Below are 24,559 nucleotides of genomic sequence, written 5' to 3'. Positions count from 1 at the left end.
ATCTTGAATGGTTCAGAGAATAATTTTTAAAGATATGCAGGTAGCATAGTTGAAGAATGTTTCTGATGCATTCTAGATTCTATTCACAGGTATAGAAAACTGAATATTAATAAAATTTTCCAATCTTACTTTTAAAATGCACTTTTAAAATGTACTTTTAAAATGAACATGGCTATGTGATTTTTGAGGTATGCTGTTTCCAAGTATCACATAGAATCATAATATCTAAGCCACATCAGCTAGTTTGCCTTCTTTAAAAGAGAACCTCCTCTGCAAATTGTATTTCCATTAATGTTCATCAGACTCAGAAACGAGAAAATAATATTTGTTTCATTCTTTGCTTTAACTCTCCATAATAATGAAAGTAAATTAAACTTCAATGTGAAAGGTTGTTCTCTTGAATCCAAACATGATAACACTTTCATTTTAATCACAATATTTTTATTTGCACGGGGTTCTCTTTGTCATCTGTGTGTTTTAAGAAAGGTATTTTCTGATAGATTAAACAATCTTACCCTTAGGGAATCATAAGTAAATTCATATGCTCACTCTGTGTTTGTGAGCTTTCATGTTATGTCCGATTTGCATGCAACCATATAACTCTGTAGTCACTGATTTTTCTGGACAGGATGATGACGGTATTTGAGTGCACTTATATCATCACTGTCACTGCATTAATACCAGACTAAATGGTCAACAAGATAATAAAAATAATCAGTGAAAAGAACCAGCTCCAAAATTCTGATTTTCCAATTGCTGATTGATTGTCTGCCTGGAAAAATTCTAGAAAATTTCAAAATCTTCTTGTGATTTTATGTTCATATTGTGATTGTCCTATGTTGTGTATATGTGATTTAATGTCTAGTATAATTAAGTAGGTGTACAGAGAGTATATCTAAATAGATGTCTGTACAATATAATAATCAATGAAATAGTCCCTAAAAGTGTTTCTGAGATACATTTCTAGACACGTTAACACTGCTGTATAATGTGGACGCCATCTGCCTGTCCTGATGCCCAGGAGATATTCCAGCCTGATCTCGATATTCCTATGTATTAATTCTGGAAACCTTGTCTCCAGGTGGACGTTGGAAAAAAGGCTGAAGCTGTAGCAACAGTTGTTGCTGCAGTAGACCAGGCCCGAGTCAGAGAGCCCAGAGAGCCTGGGCATCTTGAAGAATCCTATGCTCAGCAGACCACTTTGGAGTACGGATATAAGGAACGCATTTCCGCCGCAAAGGTAGCTGAGCCTCCCCAACGTCCAGCCTCAGAACCCCACGTTGTCCCTAAAGCAGTCAAGCCTAGAGTAATCCAGGCTCCTTCTGAGACTCATATCAAAACTACTGATCAAAAGGGAATGCACATATCATCACAGGTGAGTCTATACCTGCTGATTTTTCACCTTGTTCATGGTAAAGCAAGCCTCACTGCTGTGGTCATCTGGTGATCAATGGTATCACTGAGTTTCATTTCAATGCAGATCAAGAAAACTACAGATCTAACAACGGAAAGATTAGTCCATGTGGATAAACGCCCCCGCACAGCTAGCCCTCACTTTACTGTTTCAAAAATTTCTGTTCCTAAGACAGAACATGGATATGAGGTAAGAAGTTACAGAGCATGATACAGAAATGTTTAAAGGAAATAAGTATCTAACCTGTGAAACAGAGCATCTCTGGGGTAGGCCAATGGAGGATTCTTTTTTGGTGATGTGTGTGTGCGTGTGTTTGCATTCACAGTGGGCCCAGACACCCTAAAGATTTGGTTTCTGAAACTCGCCCAGGGGAGTGAGCCTAGAGTCACAAGTGGTTATCTTATACCTCTGAGGAGAGACAAATCCACACAGGCTTCTCTCTAGTTCACATTTCAGGGACAGCTCAAACTCAATTGTTTTGATTACTATTGTTCTAATGATTTTGTGAAAGGTAGTGTGTTACACAGCATAGTTTTACTTATGCTGTGAGACATTTCAGAGTAACTTAACTGTGAATGTGTTTCAATAATAAAGACAGACATTGAGAAATCATATATTTATATACTCAATATAGCAAGATGGAGAGGTGGTACTGTATGGTGGTCGGGTTGGATTGTGGAATCAAATAGCTCTGGATTAGTGCCCTATCTTCTCCCTTATAATCTCTGTCATCAGGAGAAAGTAAGCATACATGTAAAATGCAAGTAAAAAGGACATAAAAACCTGCAGTTGTCAGCATGTAATAAATCCTTGATATTAGTCACTATTGTTATTATACACATCCAAGAAATAGAACCCAAACCTTCTATGCCTTCAAAGAACTGTAAGTTACATATAATGCCTATATTTGATTTAGTCCCAAATTACAAAACAAATAACCATAGACCACAACAGAATAAAAGCAGTAAGGAAACCTTTAAAATATTTTTTCTGAATGTCTTCATGTTTACCTTTCACATAGATTTGTGGCTAAAACCCAAATGTACTATTGCAAAGTAGTTCTTAGGCATTTACCAACAATTTCAATAATTTCTTAATTTTGAATCTCCCACTGTGGTATTTTCAAAAGTGGCATTCATCGGAATGGTTAAGTGAAAATTCGTGACTAAGCTTTAGAAGATCCTGTCCTTTTATGATAAAAGCTGTAAAATAAGGAGTTCTGAATACAACTCTTTAAAAAAGATATTTTAAAATTTGTTTTACAAACTAACAGGCATGACAAGGAGCTTTATAATTGGCTTATCTCTAAATGACTTTTCATTAACTGTGTGATAATGAGTGCTAATGAGAACATTAAAGAACAGACCTTATAGAAAATAGGCTCAGACTCAGTCCAAGAGGGCTAGCCATCGGAGGATGGTTAAATGACTTTATTTTCTGACTCTGTTTCCATGTAGGCATCAATAGCCGGTAGTGCTATTGCCACATTACAAAAAGAGTTGTCAGCCACATCTTCTGCTCAGAAGATCACCAAATCGGTGAAGGCTCCTACTGTGAAGCCCAGTGAGACTAGAGTAAGGGCAGAGCCCACACCCTTGCCACAGTTCCCCTTCGCTGACACACCAGATACTTACAAGAGTGAAGCTGGCGTTGAGGTGAAAAAGGAAGTAGGGGTGAGCATCACTGGCACCACCGTCCGTGAAGAGCGCTTTGAAGTACTGCACGGACGCGAAGCCAAGGTTGGTCACTGGTTACCCGCTGTTACATGGTCCACTCCCATTGAGCAGGGCCAGGTGGTTGGCTAGTTTGTACTGAAAAGTAGCCAGTGGAGTCTTGCCTTTCTCCTTTGCCATACTAAGACTTGATTTTTATGGAGCATAGTATGGGTCAGAGATCATTTTCTCAAATTATTTTTATAATTATTTTTATATTTTTATAATTATATAATGTTGCATGAGCTAAGAGTTTATGAGATTTCCCTTAATTTCATGAGCATTTTGTAATATAATTTGTAAAAATCTAGGTAACAGAAACAGCAAGAGTACCAGCACCTGTTGAAATTCCTGTTACTCCACCAACTTTGGTCTCGGTGAGTAAAGAAGTTGATAATGCTGGACCCTATTCATATCTCCTCAAATCATTTTAATACACGTTTGCAAAGATCAGTTTCTCAAATTAATACAAAAATGACATTAGTGAGCTTACAGATGCTCATTTTAAGACCGTATTTGGTCTGGAAGACCATATTTGACCATATTTGGCAAGGAAGAAGGGAATTCTATGTGGTACATCATTCATGGATTCAAAAGATTTAATGAGCTTCTAATATGCAGAAGGCATTATTGCAGGAGCTGTGCAGACATAAAGACCAATCCATCCCTCTTTGAAATATTTTCTTTGCCATCAGAGAAAATGTACACAAACAAGCATAATAAAATATATAAGGTGATAAACATCACAACAGAAGGAGAATCCATGGGAGGCATAGATTCATTCCAGTTGGTGATACCATGGCAAAGCTTTGTTGAATAGGTAGCATTTGCTATTGAGCCTTACAGCTCTTTACTAATATATTAGTATATTATATAAATATTAGTTTCTCTACTACTATTTCTGGAGTCCTGATTAAAAGGCCATTTTGTGGCAGTTGAAATGCATAAGTTCAAACTCTACATTTGTTACAAAACAGAAGTGATTAATGAATATGCACACGTATCATTATTTATTTTTTCTCCTCTCTTCAGGGCTTAAAAAATGTGACTGTCATAGAAGGTGAATCTGTCACCTTGGAGTGCCACATCTCTGGATACCCATCCCCGACAGTGACATGGTACAGGGAAGACTACCAAATCGAAAGTTCCATTGACTTCCAGATAACCTTCCAGAGTGGAATTGCTCGTCTTATGATTCGCGAAGCATTTGCGGAAGACAGCGGGCGATTTACTTGCAGTGCTGTAAATGAGGCTGGAACCGTCAGCACATCCTGCTATCTGGCTGTGCAGGGTTAGTGGCCACCCTCCCACAGTCCTAATGCACATGCCATCACTTTCATCTGACACTCTTTTCCACAATATGGTTTCTGTGCACCTTGAAATGATGTCCCTTTTTGGAACTTGGGGGGAGATTATATGGTCAATTTAACTGTCAGTGCTAAGCAGGGGTCACTAAACATCTCATCTCAATGAGAAACTTTTGTCTTCTTTTAGTGTCAGAAGAATTTGAAAAGGAAACCACAGCCGTGACTGAGAAATTTACTACAGAAGAGAAACGGTAAAATATTTTGCTAATTAGTAGCTGTTCTAGTACCATTTTGACTTTCAGCCCCACCAGTATTGGCAAATTGCAACCCGGAAGCTAATATGAGGGGAATTCTCTTTCCAGCTTTGTTGAGTCAAGAGATGTGGTTATGACTGATACTAGCCTCACAGAGGAACAAGCAGGGCCTGGAGAACCTGCCGCGCCTTACTTTATTACAAAACCAGTGGTCCAGAAACTGGTGGAAGGTGGGAGCGTGGTGTTTGGATGCCAAGTTGGCGGCAACCCAAAGCCCCATGTATACTGGAAAAAATCTGGTGTTCCTCTAACCACTGGATACAGGTATTTTGATGGCTGAATATAGAGTTCTCTGTGACTTGTATAATACGTGCATGAAGCCTAGAGTAGAATTTACTCACCCCACCGACCCTGAGCATAGGCTCTTTCATTGTGGAGCCTTCTTAGTTTGTTTTGAGGTATTTTTACATTTTTTTTGTGCAAAGTCTTCCTAAGAAATAAAGCTATGTGACAAAAGTGGATGGAAGATATATTTCTTTACATTATAGTTTAATTCATTGAGTTTGTGAAAGTAGAGAAAATATGGATTTTCACACAAACACACCCACACACACACACACACACACACACTTCCAGAAAAGATTTGAGACAATTTTCAATAAAAACATGTAATAACTAAGTGACTAAAAGATAGAAGAATAGCCATGTAATGAAGAAGAAAGCTAGTTATGCACAAAAATCTATGCTAGTAATTTTTCTTCAATTCAATATAAAATTTAGCTCTGAATATTTTGCAATTTAAGATAAAAAGAGCAACCTGGTAATCTAAAAATGTAGGTGCCGTACCTTCATAATAATAAATATAATGTACCAGAGAGTTAATACTGAAATATTTGAAGGAATTTATTGTTTTAATTATTCATTTGATCTCTGAATGAAATAATGAGAAAAATAACGAACAAAGAGAAAATACCTGTTGTTTAAGTGACCTGATCATTTGCTAACATAAACACTGAAAACCACTTAATTTCATGACTGATTCTAGCAATAAATATTCTTTAAAATGAATATTTTAACTTATTTGGCCCTAATTACTCATGTTCTTGCATTTTTCTCAATTTTCAGCAATCTTATAATCTATTGTGGAGCTTAGTCATATGTTTAGGGTCATTGAATTTTATACCACAGATCCACTCACAGATAAGTCCAATTATTTTACCCACAGAAGAGTTGTTGATAACTGATTTTTAAATTTTGTACATTTACATAAAGATACAAAGTGAGTTACAACAAACAAACCGGTGAATGCAAGCTGGTGATTTCTATGACTTTTGCTGATGATGCTGGAGAATACACTATTGTTGTTCGCAATAAGCATGGAGAAACTTCTGCATCTGCTTCCTTGCTTGAAGAAGGTAAGTGCAACTCCAGTTTCTATGTGCATGATAAGAACTGAAATACAAGGAGATAGCAGTGCTGTCCGTTTGCTGAAAAACCTGTTGCCACTTACTGGTTCTGATACTTTGCCCCAGTGTCTTTGCCTCAGTTGTATGGAAAATGTTTTAGACCACATGGCCTCAAAAACTATACTGTCATTAAACTTCTGAGGTTCTAGCAATAGTTTCTTTTTGTTGTATTTGTTTCTAGGCATATCATGCCTCTGAAAATGCAGAGATTCTAAATCCGGTTGCCTTCCAGGCCCAGGCAGGTAACAGTGAGCTCAATGAAAACAGTAGCAAACTGGAGAGTAGGTGCCCTGCCTCAAAGAGACAGTAGCTGTGTTGTTGCCAGGCATGCACCAGGCTGTTACCAGGCTCAGTGTTGCTAGAGCTCCTGATATCTTAAAGAAAACCTGGAAGTCAGGATTTTCAATGTTTATAACTTGAAAACAAATGTAACAGCTTTCATGCTAGACTGTTCACATTTACAGTGAACTGGCTCACACTCTGTTTCACTTGACCTACACAGTATCCCTTAGAGGAAATTACAATATTATCTTCATTTAGCAGATAAAGCACTCAATATTCAGGAAGGTAAATGAATTGTTAAAAGACACACAGCAAATTAGGAAGTCCTCCGTGGTAGATCCCCCCAAAACTGACTGCTAATATAAAATTCTTTCTACAATTGTAATGGCTGGTTGGATTTGTTAGTGTTAGTTTGGTTTCCAAATTCCATCTAGAAAATATTGAGCACTTCAATAGTAGATATTTGGAAAATTTGGTTTTTGGTTATCAACTTTCCCCAGTGTAGAGTTTACCTGAATGCATAGTGGTATGACTGTTTTCTAATAAGAGCATTAAAAATTAACTGATGTTCTTAACTCTTAGCTGATTATGAGTTACTGATGAAGTCCCAGCAAGAAATGCTTTATCAGACACAAGTGACTGCATTTGTTCAAGAACCTAAAGTTGGAGAAACAGCACCTGGATTTGTATACTCTGAGTATGAAAAAGAGTATGAAAAAGAACAAGCCTTAATTAGGAAGAAAATGGCCAAAGATACTGTAGTGGTCAGAACTTATGTAGAAGATCAGGTGAGTATAAAAGTAATGACCAACCAAACAATTTCATAAATTATACTTTCCTTTTTTTATTTGATATTTTCATTTTCAAGTGATGAGCTCGGGGTTAGACAGCTATTAGAAGGTCCAAGTTCACTGTTGCTAAGTTTCCTTAATCTTCATGGTATGTTGCACCTGTGAGTTTAGAAATAGAGATTACATATAGGCCATAAATGTGACTTTAAAAATAGGGCTTATAATATATTAAGGAAAACACCAATATTAGCACAGCTGAGTTCATTCATGCCAAGATCTCTTCATCTGTGTGATAAGCTAATGTAACCTCTAACCCAAATCTAACTCCTGCTTTTGGAATACCTTTCTACCCAAGATGCCACAACATTCACTGGGAAAGATGACCATAATGCAGATTAAAACAAACAAACCAAAAAGTCCTCTAGATTCTTCTCCCAGCTAAAAACTTCAACAGTCTAGCTCAGATACATCTCCTTAAATAATTTATATCAGTAAGGATATGTATTTTTAACAGACCATAATCTTTTTGCATAGGAATTCCATATTTCTTCCTTTGAAGAGAGACTTATTAAAGAAATTGAATATAGAATAATAAAGACTACATTAGAAGAACTTCTTGAAGAAGATGGAGAAGAAAAGATGGCAGTTGACATTTCTGAATCTGAAGCTGTTGAATCAGGATTTGATTCAAGAATCAAGAATTATAGAATTCTTGAGGGGATGGGTGTCACTTTTCATTGCAAGATGTCTGGATATCCATTACCAAAGGTAAAATATAAACATTTATCATAGCTCCTTGCCACAGTAAAGATACAAATTGGTTAAAATATAACTATTTGATGTAAATTTTATTCATACATGCATGGTATTCTTTGCAGATTGCTTGGTACAAAGATGGCAAGCGCATCAAACATGGAGAAAGATACCAAATGGACTTTCTACAAGATGGCAGAGCTAGTCTGCGTATACCTGTTGTTCTTCCAGAAGATGAAGGAATCTACACTGCATTTGCCAGCAATATTAAAGGAAATGCAATTTGCTCAGGGAAATTGTATGTGGAGCCTGCTGCACCACTTGGAGCTCCGACTTACATTCCCACACTAGAGCCAGTGAGCAGAATCAGGTAAGACTTGTAATAATTTGGGTTATTTAGTATGTAAATTGTTTTCAAAACATCAAATAGTAGCAAATTGCTATTGTGTAAGAAGAAAATCGAGGGCTAAAATGGCACAGAAACTTACCATTGGCAACACCAACAATTGCCAGAAGTTTTTATTTCTTGCCCCTGTGTAAGATGAGCAAAGAATTTTCATCAGTGTAACATACTGTTTATTTTCCTAGTGCTATAGCTAATATCACAATAGCTCTTATTTGACACCTGATTTTTACATATGTAAATTTATACAACAGCCCTGCAATAAAAAGATGACTATTATTGGTTTGGAAATAGGAACACTGAGGCCCTGGGAATCTATGAAAATTGTCTTAATTCATCCAGCCTGTAAGCGGTGGTGCCAGCATTCAAACTCCAAGTCAGTCTGGCTGCAATGTGTAGATGGAGTCTTGTTTTGCTTTGTTTTGTTTCCAAATTCATTTCTATGTTTTCCTCCTCTGAGATAAAGAATGTGTATTTTTTATTTTTCCATAAATGTATTCATTGGTTTACTTATCCAACCAACATTTATTAGGATGTTTTAGTAGTTAAATCAAAAAAGTCTAGTGACTGATTAAATCCAAGTGGTAAGGAAAAGAGAGTATTGAGGATTATTCCAAGATTTTTGAGCCTGGGTACCTGGATATACTGAATGACTACCAGCTAAAATTGAGAATATAGGAAAAACATAGTTGTGGGGGCAACAATAATATATTCTATTTTAGATCTGAATGAGTTTGAGGTGCCTTCTAATACGTGCAAGAAGTAAATTCTAAAATAACATGAATAATGAATAAGACAAAATGAAGTTTGTTTTGCTGAGTTTTCTTTATGCCTCACGAAAGTATTGTGTGTCTTTGTTTTGCAGATCTCTCTCTCCACGTTCAGTGAGCAGGTCTCCTATACGCATGTCTCCTGCACGGATGTCACCTGCAAGGATGTCTCCTGCACGGATGTCCCCTGCAAGAATGTCCCCTGGACGTAGGCTGGAGGAGACAGATGAGTCACAACTTGAGAGACTATATAAACCAGTCTTTGTGTTAAAACCTGTTTCTTTCAAATGTTTAGAAGGGCAAACTGCCAGATTTGACTTAAAGGTTGTTGGTAGACCTATGCCAGAGACGTTCTGGTTTCATGATGGTAAGCGTGATAAGTTTTTGCTCATGAATCATAAAAACACAAAAACAAGCTTATGTATGCATCTAACAATTTTTAAAAACTATTTTAAAATCTACTTTCTTTTAAACATATTTTCACAGGCCAGCAAATTGTCAATGACTATACCCATAAAGTAGTCATTAAAGAAGATGGTACTCAATCACTAATTATTGTCCCTGCCACACCCAGTGATTCTGGGGAATGGACTGTGGTTGCCCAAAACAGGGCAGGCAGATCTTCAATTTCAGTGATTTTAACTGTGGAAGGTAAAATGAGATAAAATAAAAATAAATGAATTTTCTTATCACTTGGGTTATAAACAGGTATTTCAGCCTTACTCCCTCTAAATCATGACCTTTCTCTTTCAGCTGTGGAACATCAGGTAAAACCGATGTTTGTAGAAAAACTGAAAAATGTCAATATAAAGGAAGGTTCCCGACTTGAAATGAAAGTCAGAGCTACGGGTAACCCCAACCCTGACATTGTATGGTTGAAAAACAGTGACATCATTGTGCCTCATAAATATCCCAAAATCAGGTAAGTATGGAAATAATAAAGCTAAGCTCATTATACAAATCCAATAACCAGGGAAGCTATACCACTATATTGATTATTCCCTCCCCCAACTTTTTATAGAATTGAAGGAACCAAGGGAGAAGCTGCCCTTAAAATCGATTCCACTGTCAGCCAAGATTCTGCCTGGTATACTGCGACTGCTATTAATAAAGCTGGCAGAGACACTACAAGATGCAAAGTAAATGTTGAAGTTGAGTTTGCAGAGCCTGAGCCAGAGAGAAAGTTAATCATCCCACGGGGGACATATAGAGCAAAGGAGATTGCAGCCCCAGAACTGGAGCCCCTCCATTTGCGATATGGCCAAGAGCAATGGGAAGAAGGTGATCTCTATGACAAAGAGAAACAACAGAAACCATTTTTCAAGAAAAAACTCACTTCCTTAAGACTTAAGCGCTTTGGGCCTGCCCACTTTGAATGCAGGCTAACACCCATTGGTGACCCAACGATGGTGGTGGAGTGGCTCCATGATGGAAAGCCACTTGAAGCAGCCAACAGGCTCCGTATGATCAATGAATTTGGGTACTGCAGCCTTGATTATGGCGTTGCATATTCTAGAGACAGTGGTATCATTACTTGCAGAGCCACTAACAAATATGGAACAGATCACACATCTGCTACCCTTATTGTTAAAGATGAGAAAAGTCTTGTGGAAGAATCCCAATTGCCTGAGGGGAGGAAAGGCTTACAGAGAATTGAAGAATTAGAGAGAATGGCTCATGAAGGTGCACTTACAGGTGTAACAACAGATCAGAAAGAAAAGCAAAAGCCAGACATTGTCTTGTACCCAGAGCCAGTTAGAGTACTTGAAGGGGAGACTGCAAGGTTCCGCTGCAGGGTAACAGGCTACCCTCAGCCCAAAGTCAACTGGTACCTCAATGGACAGCTCATCCGCAAAAGCAAAAGGTTCAGAGTTCGCTATGATGGTATCCATTACCTGGACATCGTGGACTGCAAATCATATGACACAGGTGAAGTGAAGGTCACCGCGGAAAATCCTGAAGGTGTGATAGAGCATAAAGTGAAGCTTGAGATTCAACAGAGGGAAGATTTTAGGTCTGTCCTTAGGAGAGCTCCTGAACCAAGGCCTGAGTTTCACGTACATGAACCAGGAAAGCTTCAGTTTGAAGTACAAAAAGTGGATAGACCTGTTGACACCACTGAAACCAAAGAAGTTGTGAAGTTGAAAAGGGCTGAAAGAATTACCCATGAAAAAGTGCCTGAAGAGTCGGAAGAGCTGCGCAGTAAATTCAAGCGCAGAACAGAAGAGGGCTATTATGAAGCCATTACCGCTGTGGAGCTCAAGTCTCGAAAGAAGGATGAATCCTATGAGGAACTCCTCAGGAAGACAAAAGATGAACTTCTCCACTGGACCAAAGAGTTAACTGAAGAGGAAAAGAAAGCTCTTGCCGAAGAAGGCAAAATCACGATTCCAACTTTTAAACCTGACAAGATTGAACTAAGTCCTAGTATGGAGGCTCCAAAAATCTTCGAAAGAATCCAGAGCCAAACAGTGGGCCAAGGATCTGATGCACACTTCCGGGTCAGAGTCGTGGGGAAACCAGACCCCGAATGTGAATGGTACAAAAATGGTGTCAAAATTGAACGGTCTGACCGGATCTACTGGTACTGGCCCGAAGACAATGTTTGTGAATTGGTCATAAGAGATGTGACTGCTGAGGACTCTGCCAGCATCATGGTAAAAGCCATCAACATAGCTGGAGAAACCTCCAGTCACGCATTCTTACTTGTCCAAGGTAATTTGCATGTCTTTCCTTTGATGGACCTGTCTTTGTATTCAAGAATATCCATGAGTGTGTTTACTTTTATTTTCTTTCCCCATTCCTCAGGTTGAGAATTTAATTTAATATAATGTGCTCTCCCCTTTTTCCCCCACCTTTTTCTTGTAGCCAAGCAATTGATCACTTTCACACAGGAATTACAAGATGTTGTTGCTAAGGAAAAAGACACTATGGCAACCTTTGAATGTGAAACTTCAGAACCATTTGTCAAAGTGAAATGGTATAAAGATGGTATGGAGGTTCATGAGGGAGATAAATACAGGATGCACTCTGACAGAAAGGTTCACTTCCTCTCCATACTGACCATTGATACGTCTGATGCTGAAGATTACAGCTGTGTACTTGTGGAAGATGAAAATGTCAAAACGACTGCTAAACTTATTGTTGAAGGTATTCAACAACGAAGGATTTCATTGTTTACCTAAGCTCTAAAGTCACCCTTAGCATGTGGTAAAATTAGCTATGCAATTTTTCTTTCATGAAACAATTATTTGGAAATTGACTATAAGTTTCATAGCCAGAATCATAAATTTATGTTCGTAATTAAGAATGTTAACAATTTGACCATTTGGATTTTTTAAAGTAGTATTATCTTGATTTTTAGCTTTTAAGTTTTTTATTGAAGCATAATTCTTTACTTTCAAAAATATTTAAAAATTAAAATAAAATAACTGCTTCTTATTGAAAATTTATCTCTCAGCCCATCAGCGGGTAGATATTAAGAATACACCTGATAGTATGGGGGAGATAAAAGACATACAAGACATCATCTCTATCCTAAGTCTAGATGCATACCTCTCCAAAAAAATTGATTTATCTTTCTGTTATACACTTCAGGTGCAGTTGTTGAGTTTGTGAAAGAACTTCAGGACATAGAAGTTCCAGAATCATATTCAGGAGAATTAGAGTGCATTGTATCCCCAGAAAATATAGAAGGAAAATGGTATCATAATGATGTGGAGCTTAAATCCAATGGCAAATATACAATTACATCTCGTCGTGGACGTCAGAACCTCACGGTCAAGGATGTAACCAAGGAGGACCAGGGAGAATACAGCTTTGTCATCGACGGGAAAAAGACAACCTGTAAATTAAAGATGAAACGTAAGTCCTCCCATTCCTGTCAGCCTGCAGTGAGCATCATTATGGTTTATTGATAAAAAATGATCATAACATTCTTTTTCTCCCCATATTTCACAGCCCGCCCCATTGCTATCCTACAAGGACTTAGTGACCAAAAAGTCTGTGAGGGTGACATTGTTCAGCTTGAAGTTAAAGTCTCCTTGGAAAGTGTGGAAGGCGTCTGGATGAAAGACGGCCAAGAAGTGCAGCCCAGTGACAGGGTTCACATTGTGATAGACAAACAATCTCATATGCTGCTCATTGAAGACATGACTAAGGAAGATGCTGGAAATTACTCTTTCACCATTCCAGCCCTTGGCCTCTCCACCAGTGGGCGTGTCTCTGTCTATAGTGAGTCCTAATTATAAAATTTTATGTTTACACTATTAAGCAACATAAAGAACTTCAAGGAGCAGACAATTTCAACAAAATTCATTCATCTTGTGTGTGTATGATTTTGCAGGTGTGGACGTGATAACACCTCTAAAAGATGTTAATGTGATTGAAGGCACCAAGGCTGTGCTTGAATGTAAGGTGTCAGTCCCTGATGTGACTTCTGTTAAGTGGTACTTAAATGATGAACAAATCAAGCCTGATGACCGTGTACAGGCCATTGTGAAAGGTACTAAACAGCGACTAGTCATTAACCGAACTCATGCTTCAGACGAAGGACCTTACAAGCTGATAGTTGGCAGAGTTGAAACCAACTGTAATCTCTCTGTAGAAAGTAAGGATTATTCTACCTATCTAATAATTACTTTAAGCATTCTACTTTCCCAGTGTAACAATAACCAAGAGATTATTTTATTTTTTCCCCAGAAATTAAAATTATCAGAGGTCTTCGTGACCTTACCTGTACAGAAACTCAAAATGTGGTGTTTGAGGTTGAGCTGTCCCACTCTGGAATTGATGTCCTGTGGAATTTTAAGGACAAGGAAATCAAGCCCAGTTCTAAATATAAAATTGAAGCACATGGAAAAATATATAAATTGACAGTTCTAAATATGATGAAAGATGATGAAGGAAAATACACATTTTACGCGGGAGAAAATATGACATCTGGAAAACTTACTGTGGCAGGTTGGTATATTTATTAACCTAAATTCTTACGAGGAGTGATTGTTATTTTAAGAAATTATTATTCATTTCCCCCAAAATTCCTTTCAGTTTCCCACTTCCATGCCTCTGCTTATGCTGTTCCCAAAGCCAATAGTACTTGCAACACCATTCCCACCAGCCTAAATTACAAATGTTCTTCTAGGCCTACCTCAAACGTCACCTTCTCCATTAAACCTTCCTTAATCTCTCCATTTGTATATGATCTCTTCCTCATCCAACCCCAGGATCACTTTATATGTGCCTCTTTCCTAGTGTTTATTATGCACTTGTCTTATTCCCCATTTCCTCTTTCAATATCAGTGTATAAACTCCTGAAATCTGGAATTCTATTTGTATATTCCAATATATTGCAAATGACAGATAATCAATTGGTGTTTGCTGTATTGAGCTTTATTTAAACTTCCTTACTCTAAAGAATTATTTCCTTTTTTAGCCATTCTTGCTTCTTTAGCCTTTGTGCCTTTTATTTTCTTCCTACTTTTTAATGAAATCAATAAATATTTTCAAAATACAGCTTAATGTAACTGTATTTCTTATGATATCATGTAGAAATAAGACCATCATTCAGTAGAATTTCTTAGCTTTACAATGAAGAATAAAAAATGTAAATCAATTGCCAGAAAAAACTAGAAGTCATCATTAATTTGTTTGGTTCATTACAGTTTAAATTTTGAGGAGTTGAGATGTTACATTCAGATCGTGTTGTCCATTACATCTAGTATTGAAGCAAGTCATATGGTAATGATTTGTCTTATTTGGTATGAAAGTTTCATGGTTTATACTTACTTACGTTATAAGATTTCTTCAGAGATCGGACCATGAAAAGACTTGTAAAACAAAATTTCAGATTCAGCATTTTTATACATTTAATATAAATTACATGTTTTAAATGTGTGGAAACAGGAATAAACTATGAACTCCTCTGTGATTTCACCCAGTGTTTTTAAAGTACCTACCATTGGTCAGACACTTGTAGAAACTCAGGACACAAAACTAAATAAGAAATGATTTTTTTCTTGAGAAATTCATAATTTAGAGAGGACAGATACATAAGCAACTAGCTTGTTAAAGCAGTAATTATTTCTGCTAATGGATGATAAGAGTGGAGGCAATGGGGTGAAACTTCATAGAATGGGCGACATTTGCCAACACAGTGATTTTTAATATATAGAAATCCTCAATGTAGTAGAAACATTGATGACTCGTACATTTTGTTTAGCAAATTTTTATGTAGTCAAAATATCAGATTCCCAGGAAATAATCATTAAAAGACCAAGTAAAATGCTTTTGAAGAAGAAGGAATTGGGTTAGAGACTATCCTGGTGGTATACTGTTCTAAGAATTTCCTATTAATTCAACAGTTATTTTTTCTTCACAAAACTTTTCTGATTCCAGTATTTCTCCTAATTATCAGTTATGCATACTTAGAATAAGGGATTTCTTTGGTACCTTCTCAATATGGGTAAAAACAATCATAGACATTTCATGATTTCAAAATCATGTTCTTAAATTTGATATTTTATATTTACTTCTGCAAAGATTTTCCCATTGTGTGAATATGTTTAAAGGACTCATACTGTACATCTCTTGTTCCAAAGGTGGGGCCATCTCCAAGCCACTCACAGATCAGACCGTAGCTGAATCCCAGGAAGCTGTGTTTGAATGTGAAGTTGCCAACCCAGATTCCAAAGGCGAATGGTTGAGGGATGGCAAACACCTACCACTGACTAACAACATCAGAAGTGAGTCTGATGGCCACAAAAGGAGACTTATCATTGCTGCCACCAAATTAGATGACATTGGAGAATATACCTACAAGGTGGCCACCTCCAAAACATCTGCCAAACTCAAAGTTGAAGGCAAGTAACATAGGATTTGTCCTTTTCAAATCATATTACAATCTTGATCGTTATCGTTTTAAAAGACAAACGATATGGCCATTTTGGATACCATAAATTTTCATTTCATAAAGTCATTCTAGATCCTCTAAACCTTCCTGAGACACATTCCACAAGGTACAAAATTGCTTATCAAATGCGTTTATGCAAAAAAGCCATTTCTTAGGTTAAAGCTCTGTGAAACAGCTAAATCAGACACTGATTCTCCATTCGTCTTTCACCCTTCTCCAATCAGTCTATTATGCTGCTAATACATAGCTATGCAAACTTCATACTACTAAAGCATAGAAAAATCATTTCACGATGTACATGTCCAGTTGGATCCCAGGTTCCCCTAAATAATCTCAGGTGTTTTTTAAAACAGAGGTGCTGCATAACTGTAAAATGTTTGGTAGCCATTCTTTTGCAGGGTGAGTAAGCAATGATCTTGTTCAGGACTTCTTTTCCTTGATGATGTCATCTATATTTTCTAACCCAATCATAAATTTGTCTTTAGCTGTCAAAATTAAGAAGACTCTGAAGAACCTCACAGTGACAGAAACACAGGATGCTGTTTTCACTGTCGAGCTTACACACCCTAATGTCAAAGGTGTCCAGTGGATCAAAAATGGAGTTGTGCTGGAATCCAATGAAAAGTATGCTATCTCTGTCAAAGGAACAATTTACTCTCTGAGGATTAAAAACTGTGCCATCGTGGATGAGTCTGTTTATGGCTTCAGGCTTGGAAGGCTTGGAGCCAGTGCCAGACTGCACGTGGAGAGTAAGTTGATTTAGAAACACTTTTCAAGCAGTCAGCCCATGGTTACCATTAAGTTAACCCTATCACTGAATTGCTCCAATTTTCCTCTTAGCTGTCAAGATCATTAAAAAGCCAAAGGATGTGACAGCCTTGGAAAATGCCACTGTTGCCTTTGAAGTTAGTGTTTCCCATGACACTGTTCCAGTAAAATGGTTCCATAAGAGTGTGGAAATTAAGCCAAGTGACAAACACAGACTGGTCTCAGAAAGGAAAGTCCACAAGCTGATGCTGCAGAACATCTCCCCCTCAGATGCTGGGGAATACACAGCTGTGGTCGGGCAATTGGAATGCAAAGCAAAACTGTTTGTGGAGAGTAAGTATCAGGCAGCCCCCTACAGCCCTTTCCTTAATGAACCCCATGTATCTATTTGTTTGGTTTCATCTACTTTTTAAACAAATTGTATTAACTGAAGTGCTCTTTGATTTTACCAAGCATTACATATTACAAAAACCATGAAAAATATCGAGGTGCCTGAGACCAAAACTGCCTCTTTTGAGTGTGAGGTGTCCCACTTCAATGTCCCTTCCATGTGGCTGAAGAATGGTGTGGAAATTGAGATGAGTGAAAAGTTCAAGATAGTTGTGCAGGGAAAACTCCATCAGCTGATCATCATGAACACCAGCACAGAGGACTCGGCAGAATACACATTTGTCTGTGGCAATGACCAAGTCAGTGCCACCCTGACAGTCACCCGTAAGTTAAAAAATATATATATATATATACACATATATATAAAATATCAAATATTCAGTAGATTCATTGATATTCTATATCCTACACTTTGCTGACCACTCAAAAATCCTTGATTGGGTGGGCAGGGTGGCTCAAGCCTGTAATCCCAGCACTTTGGGAGGCCAAGGCAGGAGAATCACTTGAGATCAAGATTTTGAGACCAGGCTGGGAAATACAATGAGATCCTGCCTCTAGCAAAGACAAAAGGAAAAAAAAAAATTAGCTGGGCATGGTGGCACACACTTGTAGTCCCAGCTACTCAGGAGGCTGAGGTGGGAAGATCGCTTGGGCCCAGAAGGCCAAGGCTGCAGTGAGCCACAATCACGGCACTGCACTGCAGCCTGGGCGACAAAGTGAGAACCTGCCTCAAAAAATAAAGAAAAAAAATTGTTAATTGAAACATCTAGTATGTGGTTACACTGAGTAAAGCACTAGTATCTCCACCTGGATAAAATGTTCCAGTTAGAGTAGCATTGAAAGGCTACCTGGAAAGATGCCTCAGTGTCTATCACTTGATCTTTCTGTTCCTCTGTGAGTTGGCACTGTCCTGTATAGTACATGGAAGGTATCAAAGCTTATATCTCTAAACTGTAATCTCCTCAACAGACGCACTAAAAACATTCCAAATTTTTATTCTGCACCTGTTATAACCCACATCATATTTACGTAAAGTCTCCTTGGGTGTTTTTTCTTTTCTCCTTTGCAGCAATCATGATTACTTCCATGCTGAAAGACATCAACGCTGAAGAAAAAGACACTATTACTTTTGAGGTGACAGTGAACTATGAAGGCATCTCTTACAAATGGTTAAAGAATGGTGTGGAAATCAAATCAACTGACAAGTGCCAGATGAGAACCAAAAAGCTCACACACTCACTGAACATCAGGAATGTTCACTTTGGGGATGCTGCTGACTACACCTTTGTGGCTGGAAAAGCAACATCAACAGCCACACTTTATGTGGAAGGTATGGTTTCATACATATTAGATCCATAGAAAAAATGTCATACATGCTTTATAAAATTTAGTGTATCAATTAATGAATGGATAAATAAAATGTGGGATAGCCATACGATGGGATATCATTCAGCAATAAAAAGGAAGCACTACGATATGCTACAACATGGATGAACCTTTAAAACTTTATGCTAAGTGAAAGAAGCCAGAGACCATACAAAGACCACATATTGTATGATTCCATTTATATGAAATGTCCAAGATACACAAATCTATAGAGATGTAGATTGGTGGTTGCTTAGGTCTACAGGGGAGACAATAGAAAAGTCCTTGGGGTGATGGCTAAGGGTTACATGATTTCTTCTTGGGGAATGAGAATGTTCTAAAATTATGGTGATGGCTACACAATGATGAATACATGGAAATTCATTGAATTGTATACTTTAAATTGGTGGATTGTACAGTATGTGAATTATATCTCAATAAAGCTGTTAAAAATGTTAATTTTTCTACATGCTATTTTCCAGCTCGTCATATAGAATTTAGGAAACACATTAAGGACATTAAGGTACTGGAGAAGAAGCGAGCCATGTTTGAATGTGAAGTTTCTGAACCTGACATCACTGTACAGTGGATGAAAGATGACCAGGAACTGCAGATCACAGACAGGTCAGTTGTTTTGTCTTGCTACATTCCAGTAATTCCCAGTTTCCTCTGAATCACCATACGGTAAACTCGAATTTCCATTTCATCCATAGAATAAAGATTCAGAAGGAGAAATATGTCCACCGCCTTCTGATCCCATCCACCCGGATGTCTGATGCTGGGAAGTACACAGTGGTGGCAGGAGGCAACGTGTCAACTGCAAAACTCTTTGTAGAAGGCAGAGATGTTCGCATCCGAAGTATTAAAAAGGAGGTTCAGGTATTGTCTACATACTAAATGTTTTGAAAAATCATCAGTAGTCCATAATCTATCATTTTATATTTTAATGTTTCCCTTTTACATTTTCTAACCACCATCCTTTAAAGAATTAAATCAGCTCATTCTTACTTGGCTTAGACTCTCTTATGCTGACCTCAATTTAGTCACAGTTTCCACTCAGGGAATAAGGGTGTCCCTAGCAGCTGTCTAAATACGTTAATTAAAGCAGCTGTAGAAATTTCACTGTCTAATAAATGGCTGCTTGCCAAGCAGCACCAACCAGAAAAGAATTAAAATGTAAATCGTGAGGTTCACACATCAATTAGAATTAAGGAAATTTAGAACAAGGTGATATTTTCTCAGAAGGTTTCTATCTGTGGAGAGGCAAGTGTCAAGGAACTTAGTGGCTAGAAATACTTTCTGTGAAGTCTAAGAGAAAGCCCTGTCCAAGCCGTGCTGGGTTCCTGGCAAGGATGCTGGGCACTCTTGCTGTCGGCTGCATTTACAGAGCTTGTCCTCATAAGTGTCCACCATCCCAAATGATATAATGGAGGAAACATGTCTAGAGAAATACCAGTTGAGTTCAGCTTTATCATATTGCTCATCCAAAGAAAACCAGGCTTTACAGACTGTGGACTATAATGAAAAAGGCTTCAATGAGGACTCAGATAACCTGGAGATGTCTTCCATCATTTATTTGCCAATTCTGAACCTCAGTGTTCTCACTCTTAAAATGAGGATAATAATTCCTACCTAGCCCACAAAGTTATTATTCATATAAAATGAAATCAAATTAAGTAATAACTTTTTAGACAATAAAAAGCCCCCAAAGGTAAAGCATCATTATATCCCTTATTAGTAAATAAGAAGCAAACATTTAAGGATGAAATAATTGTCTCTTTGGGGCAGCTCCTTTCCTCCATGCAGCTGTAAACACAATTCTCTACAAGAGAAGTTTATGTACCATTTGTCCAATACTAGGCAGGAAAAATTAGAGAGTGCTATAATCAGCCAACTTATTACATTATAATATATTGGTTTCACATGCCATTCATTGACCAGTTTTAGAAATTGATTAACTGGGAGGAAACCAGAGCTTCAAGTTTTTGTTGTTGTTGTTGTTTTTTTATGTTGTTCCATCAACAGGTCATTGAGAAACAGCGTGCTGTTGTTGAATTTGAGGTCAATGAAGACGATGTTGATGCCCACTGGTATAAAGATGGCATTGAAATCAATTTCCAAGTTCAAGAACGACACAAATATGTAGTGGAAAGAAGAATCCACCGAATGTTTATCTCTGAGACCAGACAGAGCGATGCAGGAGAATACACCTTTGTGGCAGGAAGGAACAGGAGTTCTGTCACTCTCTATGTCAATGGTATGTAGGGACAGATTTCAGCATATTTTGTGGATCCATCAGAAATAATCCTCCTGTTTAAGTCACTAAATTCTTGTAACTTGAAGGAAATTTCTAAAGAACCTATGGTATTCATGTGGTTCCAGCTACATTTTTTTTCACATTATATCTATGGAAAAGGGAGGGCAGCTGTTAAAAGACCTATTGAGAAGTTATTTTCAGAAAGCACCTGATGGCCAGATCCTCATCTGGTTGCTCAAAACTATTGAACACCCATTGGGTGTCCATTTTCATATACCCCAGATGAGCTTCTAGATTCGCTGTTAAACTATTTTAGTTCTCTGCCCTCTGCCTGAACTGCTCAAGTCCTAGCAGCACTACCAAGTGAAAGGGGTGTTTCCAGCCTCTGATATGGAGTGCCTGGGAGAACTCAAAAGTCCTCTTTGAGACCCTGGAAGGCCTAGAGAGCCTCAGGCAATGTGGAACTCGATCCTCTCTACCCCAAGCTCTAAGAACAGGGGCTCTTACTTTGGACAGGGAATTCCACATGCTACCAAGCACTCCTGAGGAGCCTCTGAGCAGTCCCCAGGGAAGTGCTGTTAAACCTCTGCTCTCCTCATTAGAAATCTTAAGGCTGAATCTCAAGCTGACCTTGTTTTGAGTCTAACCTAGATGCAAGAGAAAAATGGAACCTCCCTTCCTATTCTCATCCTAGGCCATATCTCTTTGAATAAAATACCCCTGAGGCAGATGCAGGAACTCCAGGGGTAATCTCAAGATTCACAAAGATGAACCATATCGCCAGCATTCCCTAGGTTCCTAGAAGACCAAATGGTCATGGCATCCAGTTCTTATTATCTCTGTATTAGTAGTGGAGAAACTGAGGCACAGAAAAGTAAAGATCTTTTCTATGATAGTGTCAGAAACCAGCCTCACAGAAGTCATTTCTTCTAATTTCTGGGTTCCATGAACTAACCAGGTCCCCTCACTCATCACAGCACTGAGAATATGCTTTAGTTAGCAAAACAGGAAAGCTGAATTTGTTAAGTCTACCTAATGGCATTTAACTAGATCTGAAATAGTGTTAATTCAGTCATTCATTCAATACTTACTGATTGCATTTTACTGGCACTGGTACATAACAAAATGACTATGACATAAACACAAATACTTGCAAAACAAACAAACTGGAATGATATGAGCCTCTTCACCACATGATTTGTCCAAATGAATTTTAAAAATAGGTAGCACACGGAAGTTATTGTATAATTCATTCAGGTGTCCATCGCTAAGCCCCCACCACAAACAGAAACTGGGATAATCAGGTTAACTCGGCACTCTCAGCATGCCCCCCAAATATCAAAAATATCTTTCTGAAGCTATTCCCTCTGCATGTGGACAAATTCCAAGTGCTTTCTTCATTCTTAGCACAAAGAATGTTCTAATATTCTGAGGCAAGTAAAAATACCACAATTCCAAAATTTTGTCTCTGGATGTATAACTAGCCAGCAACAAATTAATGTAGAGTTTTGCATGCTCTCTTGTGTTTTTACACTTTTTCATGGGCTATTTGTCAACATTTACTCCTAGCTCCTGAACCGCCCCAAGTTCTGCAGGAGCTCCAGCCTGTCACTGTGCAGTCTGGCAAGCCTGCCCGCTTCTGTGCCGTGATATCCGGAAGACCACAGCCCAAAATTTCCTGGTACAAGGAAGAGCAGCTGCTTTCCACTGGCTTCAAGTGCAAATTTCTTCATGATGGGCAAGAATACACGCTTTTGCTAATTGAAGCCTTCCCAGAGGATGCGGCAGTCTATACCTGTGAAGCCAAGAATGACTATGGTGTTGCCACAACATCAGCTTCACTCTCAGTGGAAGGTAGGAATGCCTCGCTACTTCCAGCTGAAAATAAAACCTAAGAAGCAGGCTTTTGTCCTTTCCCAGTGCATTTAAAAATACAATTTGGAGCTCATAAAAGTAGATTGCTACCCAACTTTGAAAGCACTCTGCAGTGAAATAAATTAAGATAAACCTACATGCTCCCTTCTGTGAGGTCTCTATGGTGACTTAATCATGACAAATCTTGTGGTTTCTTTCTTTAGTTCCAGAAGTTGTGTCTCCTGATCAGGAAATGCCTGTTTATCCACCTGCCATCATCACCCCGCTTCAGGACACTGTCACTTCTGAAGGGCAGCCAGCCCGTTTTCAATGCCGGGTTTCTGGAACAGGTAGGTTTAAGAACAAAAGGTGTCATTGCCAATACTTACAAATAATTACATGGGAAAAACATTCTGTCAGCTTCTCCTCCATCACAAACATCTCTCATGCATAATTTGAAGCTTAATGGAAATCTAACAGAAAACTTATTTCAATTATTAAATTAAGAATTAGATAAGTGTTTTTCACTATTTTGTGCCCTTAATAATGGTTGTTTATGTTATGTTATGTGTTCTTTATCACAATAAAAAAATTAGTGTTTTTCACTAATATTAAAAAAGGTCATGTTCCCTTTATGATTGTAGCTGCACTTTAATTTCTTCATTGATAAAATACAATGACAAAACTAAAATTATTAGATTATAATAGCATCTACATATAATTCAAAAGAATAATACATTTATATAAGACATTATTCAGTCTATGGACAATGCTTGTGTGAAAGGTATCCTTTGGAAGACAATATCCTATAGTGGTCAAAAGTCGGGGCTTCATTGTCAAAGATGCTGAATTTGAATCTTGCCTTCAATATATATCATGTCTCTCGTTCTCCTTCTGTCATGAATACATTGAGTATATGATTGCATTCAATCCTAGAAAATATATTTTATGAGGCTAGGAATTCCGTTTTAGTGCCTAGAATTTGGCATCTGAAAAATAGTACCTGCTAGAAGGTAAGCTCTATGAAAACAAGAGTGGATGGTTGCCCCAGAATATCACCTGATACATAGTAGATACTCCATAAGTAATTGTTGACTGGACTAATTAATGATGGTTAAATGACTGTTACCAAACACTTAAGATTATTATCAAGATTAAGTTAGGTAACTCAAGTCAGCACATAGCACAGTGCTCATCATACAGTAATCAATCAGAGTTAGCTGCTACCATTTTTAATTGGGGCATGCTTCTCAAGTACCACCAGCCAATTTCCTCATCCCAGGAATCTGATCTTGGTAGAATGAGACAATATATGTGGAACCACTTCAAGTCATAACTGATTGTCTATAATCACAATTATTTGAGAGTTTCCCAGCCAAAGGGAAACTCTCAAAGCTTGGGCATCTCCCAGCCCTCTTATTAGGCTGATGCAAAAGTAATTGCAAAGTTGTATTGTTTTGTTTATTATGCTTCTCCCATTAGTTTATAATCCAATCTCTACCTTGTCAAGATTTATTTTTCTCAACAGGTTAGTACTTCAGTTGGTCTTCTGACCCAATTATTTCCTCCTCAGGAATGGAGATGGTGATCTAGAAATCTAATAGACCTATTTGATTTTATGAGCATAATTAAAAGATATAATGTATGTAAAGCACCTATAGGCATGGCTGCCAGGTAACTGGGGCTCAATACATTCATTTTATTATAGCCATAGAGAGGAATTATATAAACATCAATGTTTAGTATTGTATGGCCAGTATGGACAAATACCATAGACTGTATATTTGAGGGATAGTGTTCAAGAAATGCTAAATATTAATAAATGAGGACTGATTTGATAATATCCTACTAACACAATAATAC

General features: G+C 37.8%; 1 protein-coding gene and 1 long non-coding RNA gene across 22 annotated transcripts in view, besides 1 other annotated feature; one reads left to right on the top strand and one right to left on the bottom strand.

The window, feature by feature from the left end:
• TTN (titin) overlaps positions 1-24,559 on the top strand; it is a 281,435-nt gene that overhangs the window by 20,201 nt on the left and 236,675 nt on the right. For all 21 annotated transcript variants that reach the window (NM_003319.4, NM_133437.4, NM_133432.3 and 18 more), the window contains 30 exons: positions 1,082-1,375; positions 1,481-1,603; positions 2,872-3,153; positions 3,438-3,503; positions 4,159-4,417; positions 4,621-4,684; positions 4,796-5,011; positions 5,960-6,102; positions 7,018-7,223; positions 7,761-7,994; positions 8,105-8,349; positions 9,248-9,519; positions 9,639-9,803; positions 9,906-10,074; positions 10,174-11,867; positions 12,021-12,302; positions 12,750-13,016; positions 13,113-13,385; positions 13,498-13,761; positions 13,854-14,114; positions 15,752-16,012; positions 16,548-16,811; positions 16,903-17,163; positions 17,284-17,544; positions 18,290-18,550; positions 19,068-19,209; positions 19,299-19,464; positions 20,611-20,842; positions 22,412-22,696; positions 22,921-23,046. In NM_003319.4, coding sequence (NP_003310.4) covers positions 1,082-1,375; positions 1,481-1,603; positions 2,872-3,153; positions 3,438-3,503; positions 4,159-4,417; positions 4,621-4,684; positions 4,796-5,011; positions 5,960-6,102; positions 7,018-7,223; positions 7,761-7,994; positions 8,105-8,349; positions 9,248-9,519; positions 9,639-9,803; positions 9,906-10,074; positions 10,174-11,867; positions 12,021-12,302; positions 12,750-13,016; positions 13,113-13,385; positions 13,498-13,761; positions 13,854-14,114; positions 15,752-16,012; positions 16,548-16,811; positions 16,903-17,163; positions 17,284-17,544; positions 18,290-18,550; positions 19,068-19,209; positions 19,299-19,464; positions 20,611-20,842; positions 22,412-22,696; positions 22,921-23,046 — 8,038 coding nt within the window. The remainder of the gene's footprint in view (positions 1-1,081; positions 1,376-1,480; positions 1,604-2,871; positions 3,154-3,437; positions 3,504-4,158; positions 4,418-4,620; positions 4,685-4,795; positions 5,012-5,959; positions 6,103-7,017; positions 7,224-7,760; positions 7,995-8,104; positions 8,350-9,247; positions 9,520-9,638; positions 9,804-9,905; positions 10,075-10,173; positions 11,868-12,020; positions 12,303-12,749; positions 13,017-13,112; positions 13,386-13,497; positions 13,762-13,853; positions 14,115-15,751; positions 16,013-16,547; positions 16,812-16,902; positions 17,164-17,283; positions 17,545-18,289; positions 18,551-19,067; positions 19,210-19,298; positions 19,465-20,610; positions 20,843-22,411; positions 22,697-22,920; positions 23,047-24,559) is intronic.
• On the bottom strand, positions 7,260-10,297 carry LOC101927055 (uncharacterized). Its single transcript, NR_120594.1, has 2 exons — positions 8,468-10,297; positions 7,260-7,385 (listed from the first exon to the last, which is right to left on the bottom strand). It is a non-coding gene; the product is annotated as an uncharacterized LOC101927055 (long non-coding RNA).
• Positions 12,442-13,641: an enhancer, noted in NCBI's record as "BRD4-independent group 4 enhancer chr2:179638309-179639508 (GRCh37/hg19 assembly coordinates)". NCBI's record gives its function as "activates an origin of replication core promoter dependent on BRD2, P300/CBP, MED14 and CDK7 cofactors, and independent of BRD4, by STARR-seq in HCT116 cells {active_cell/tissue: HCT116}" and the evidence as "EXISTENCE:reporter gene assay evidence [ECO:0000049][PMID:35650434]".

Source organism: Homo sapiens, chromosome 2 (genome assembly GCF_000001405.40).
Source record: "Homo sapiens chromosome 2, GRCh38.p14 Primary Assembly".
NCBI lineage: Eukaryota > Metazoa > Chordata > Mammalia > Primates > Hominidae > Homo > Homo sapiens.
Note: the sequence above shows the minus strand (reverse complement) of the source record. Positions and strands in the feature narration are given on the sequence as shown.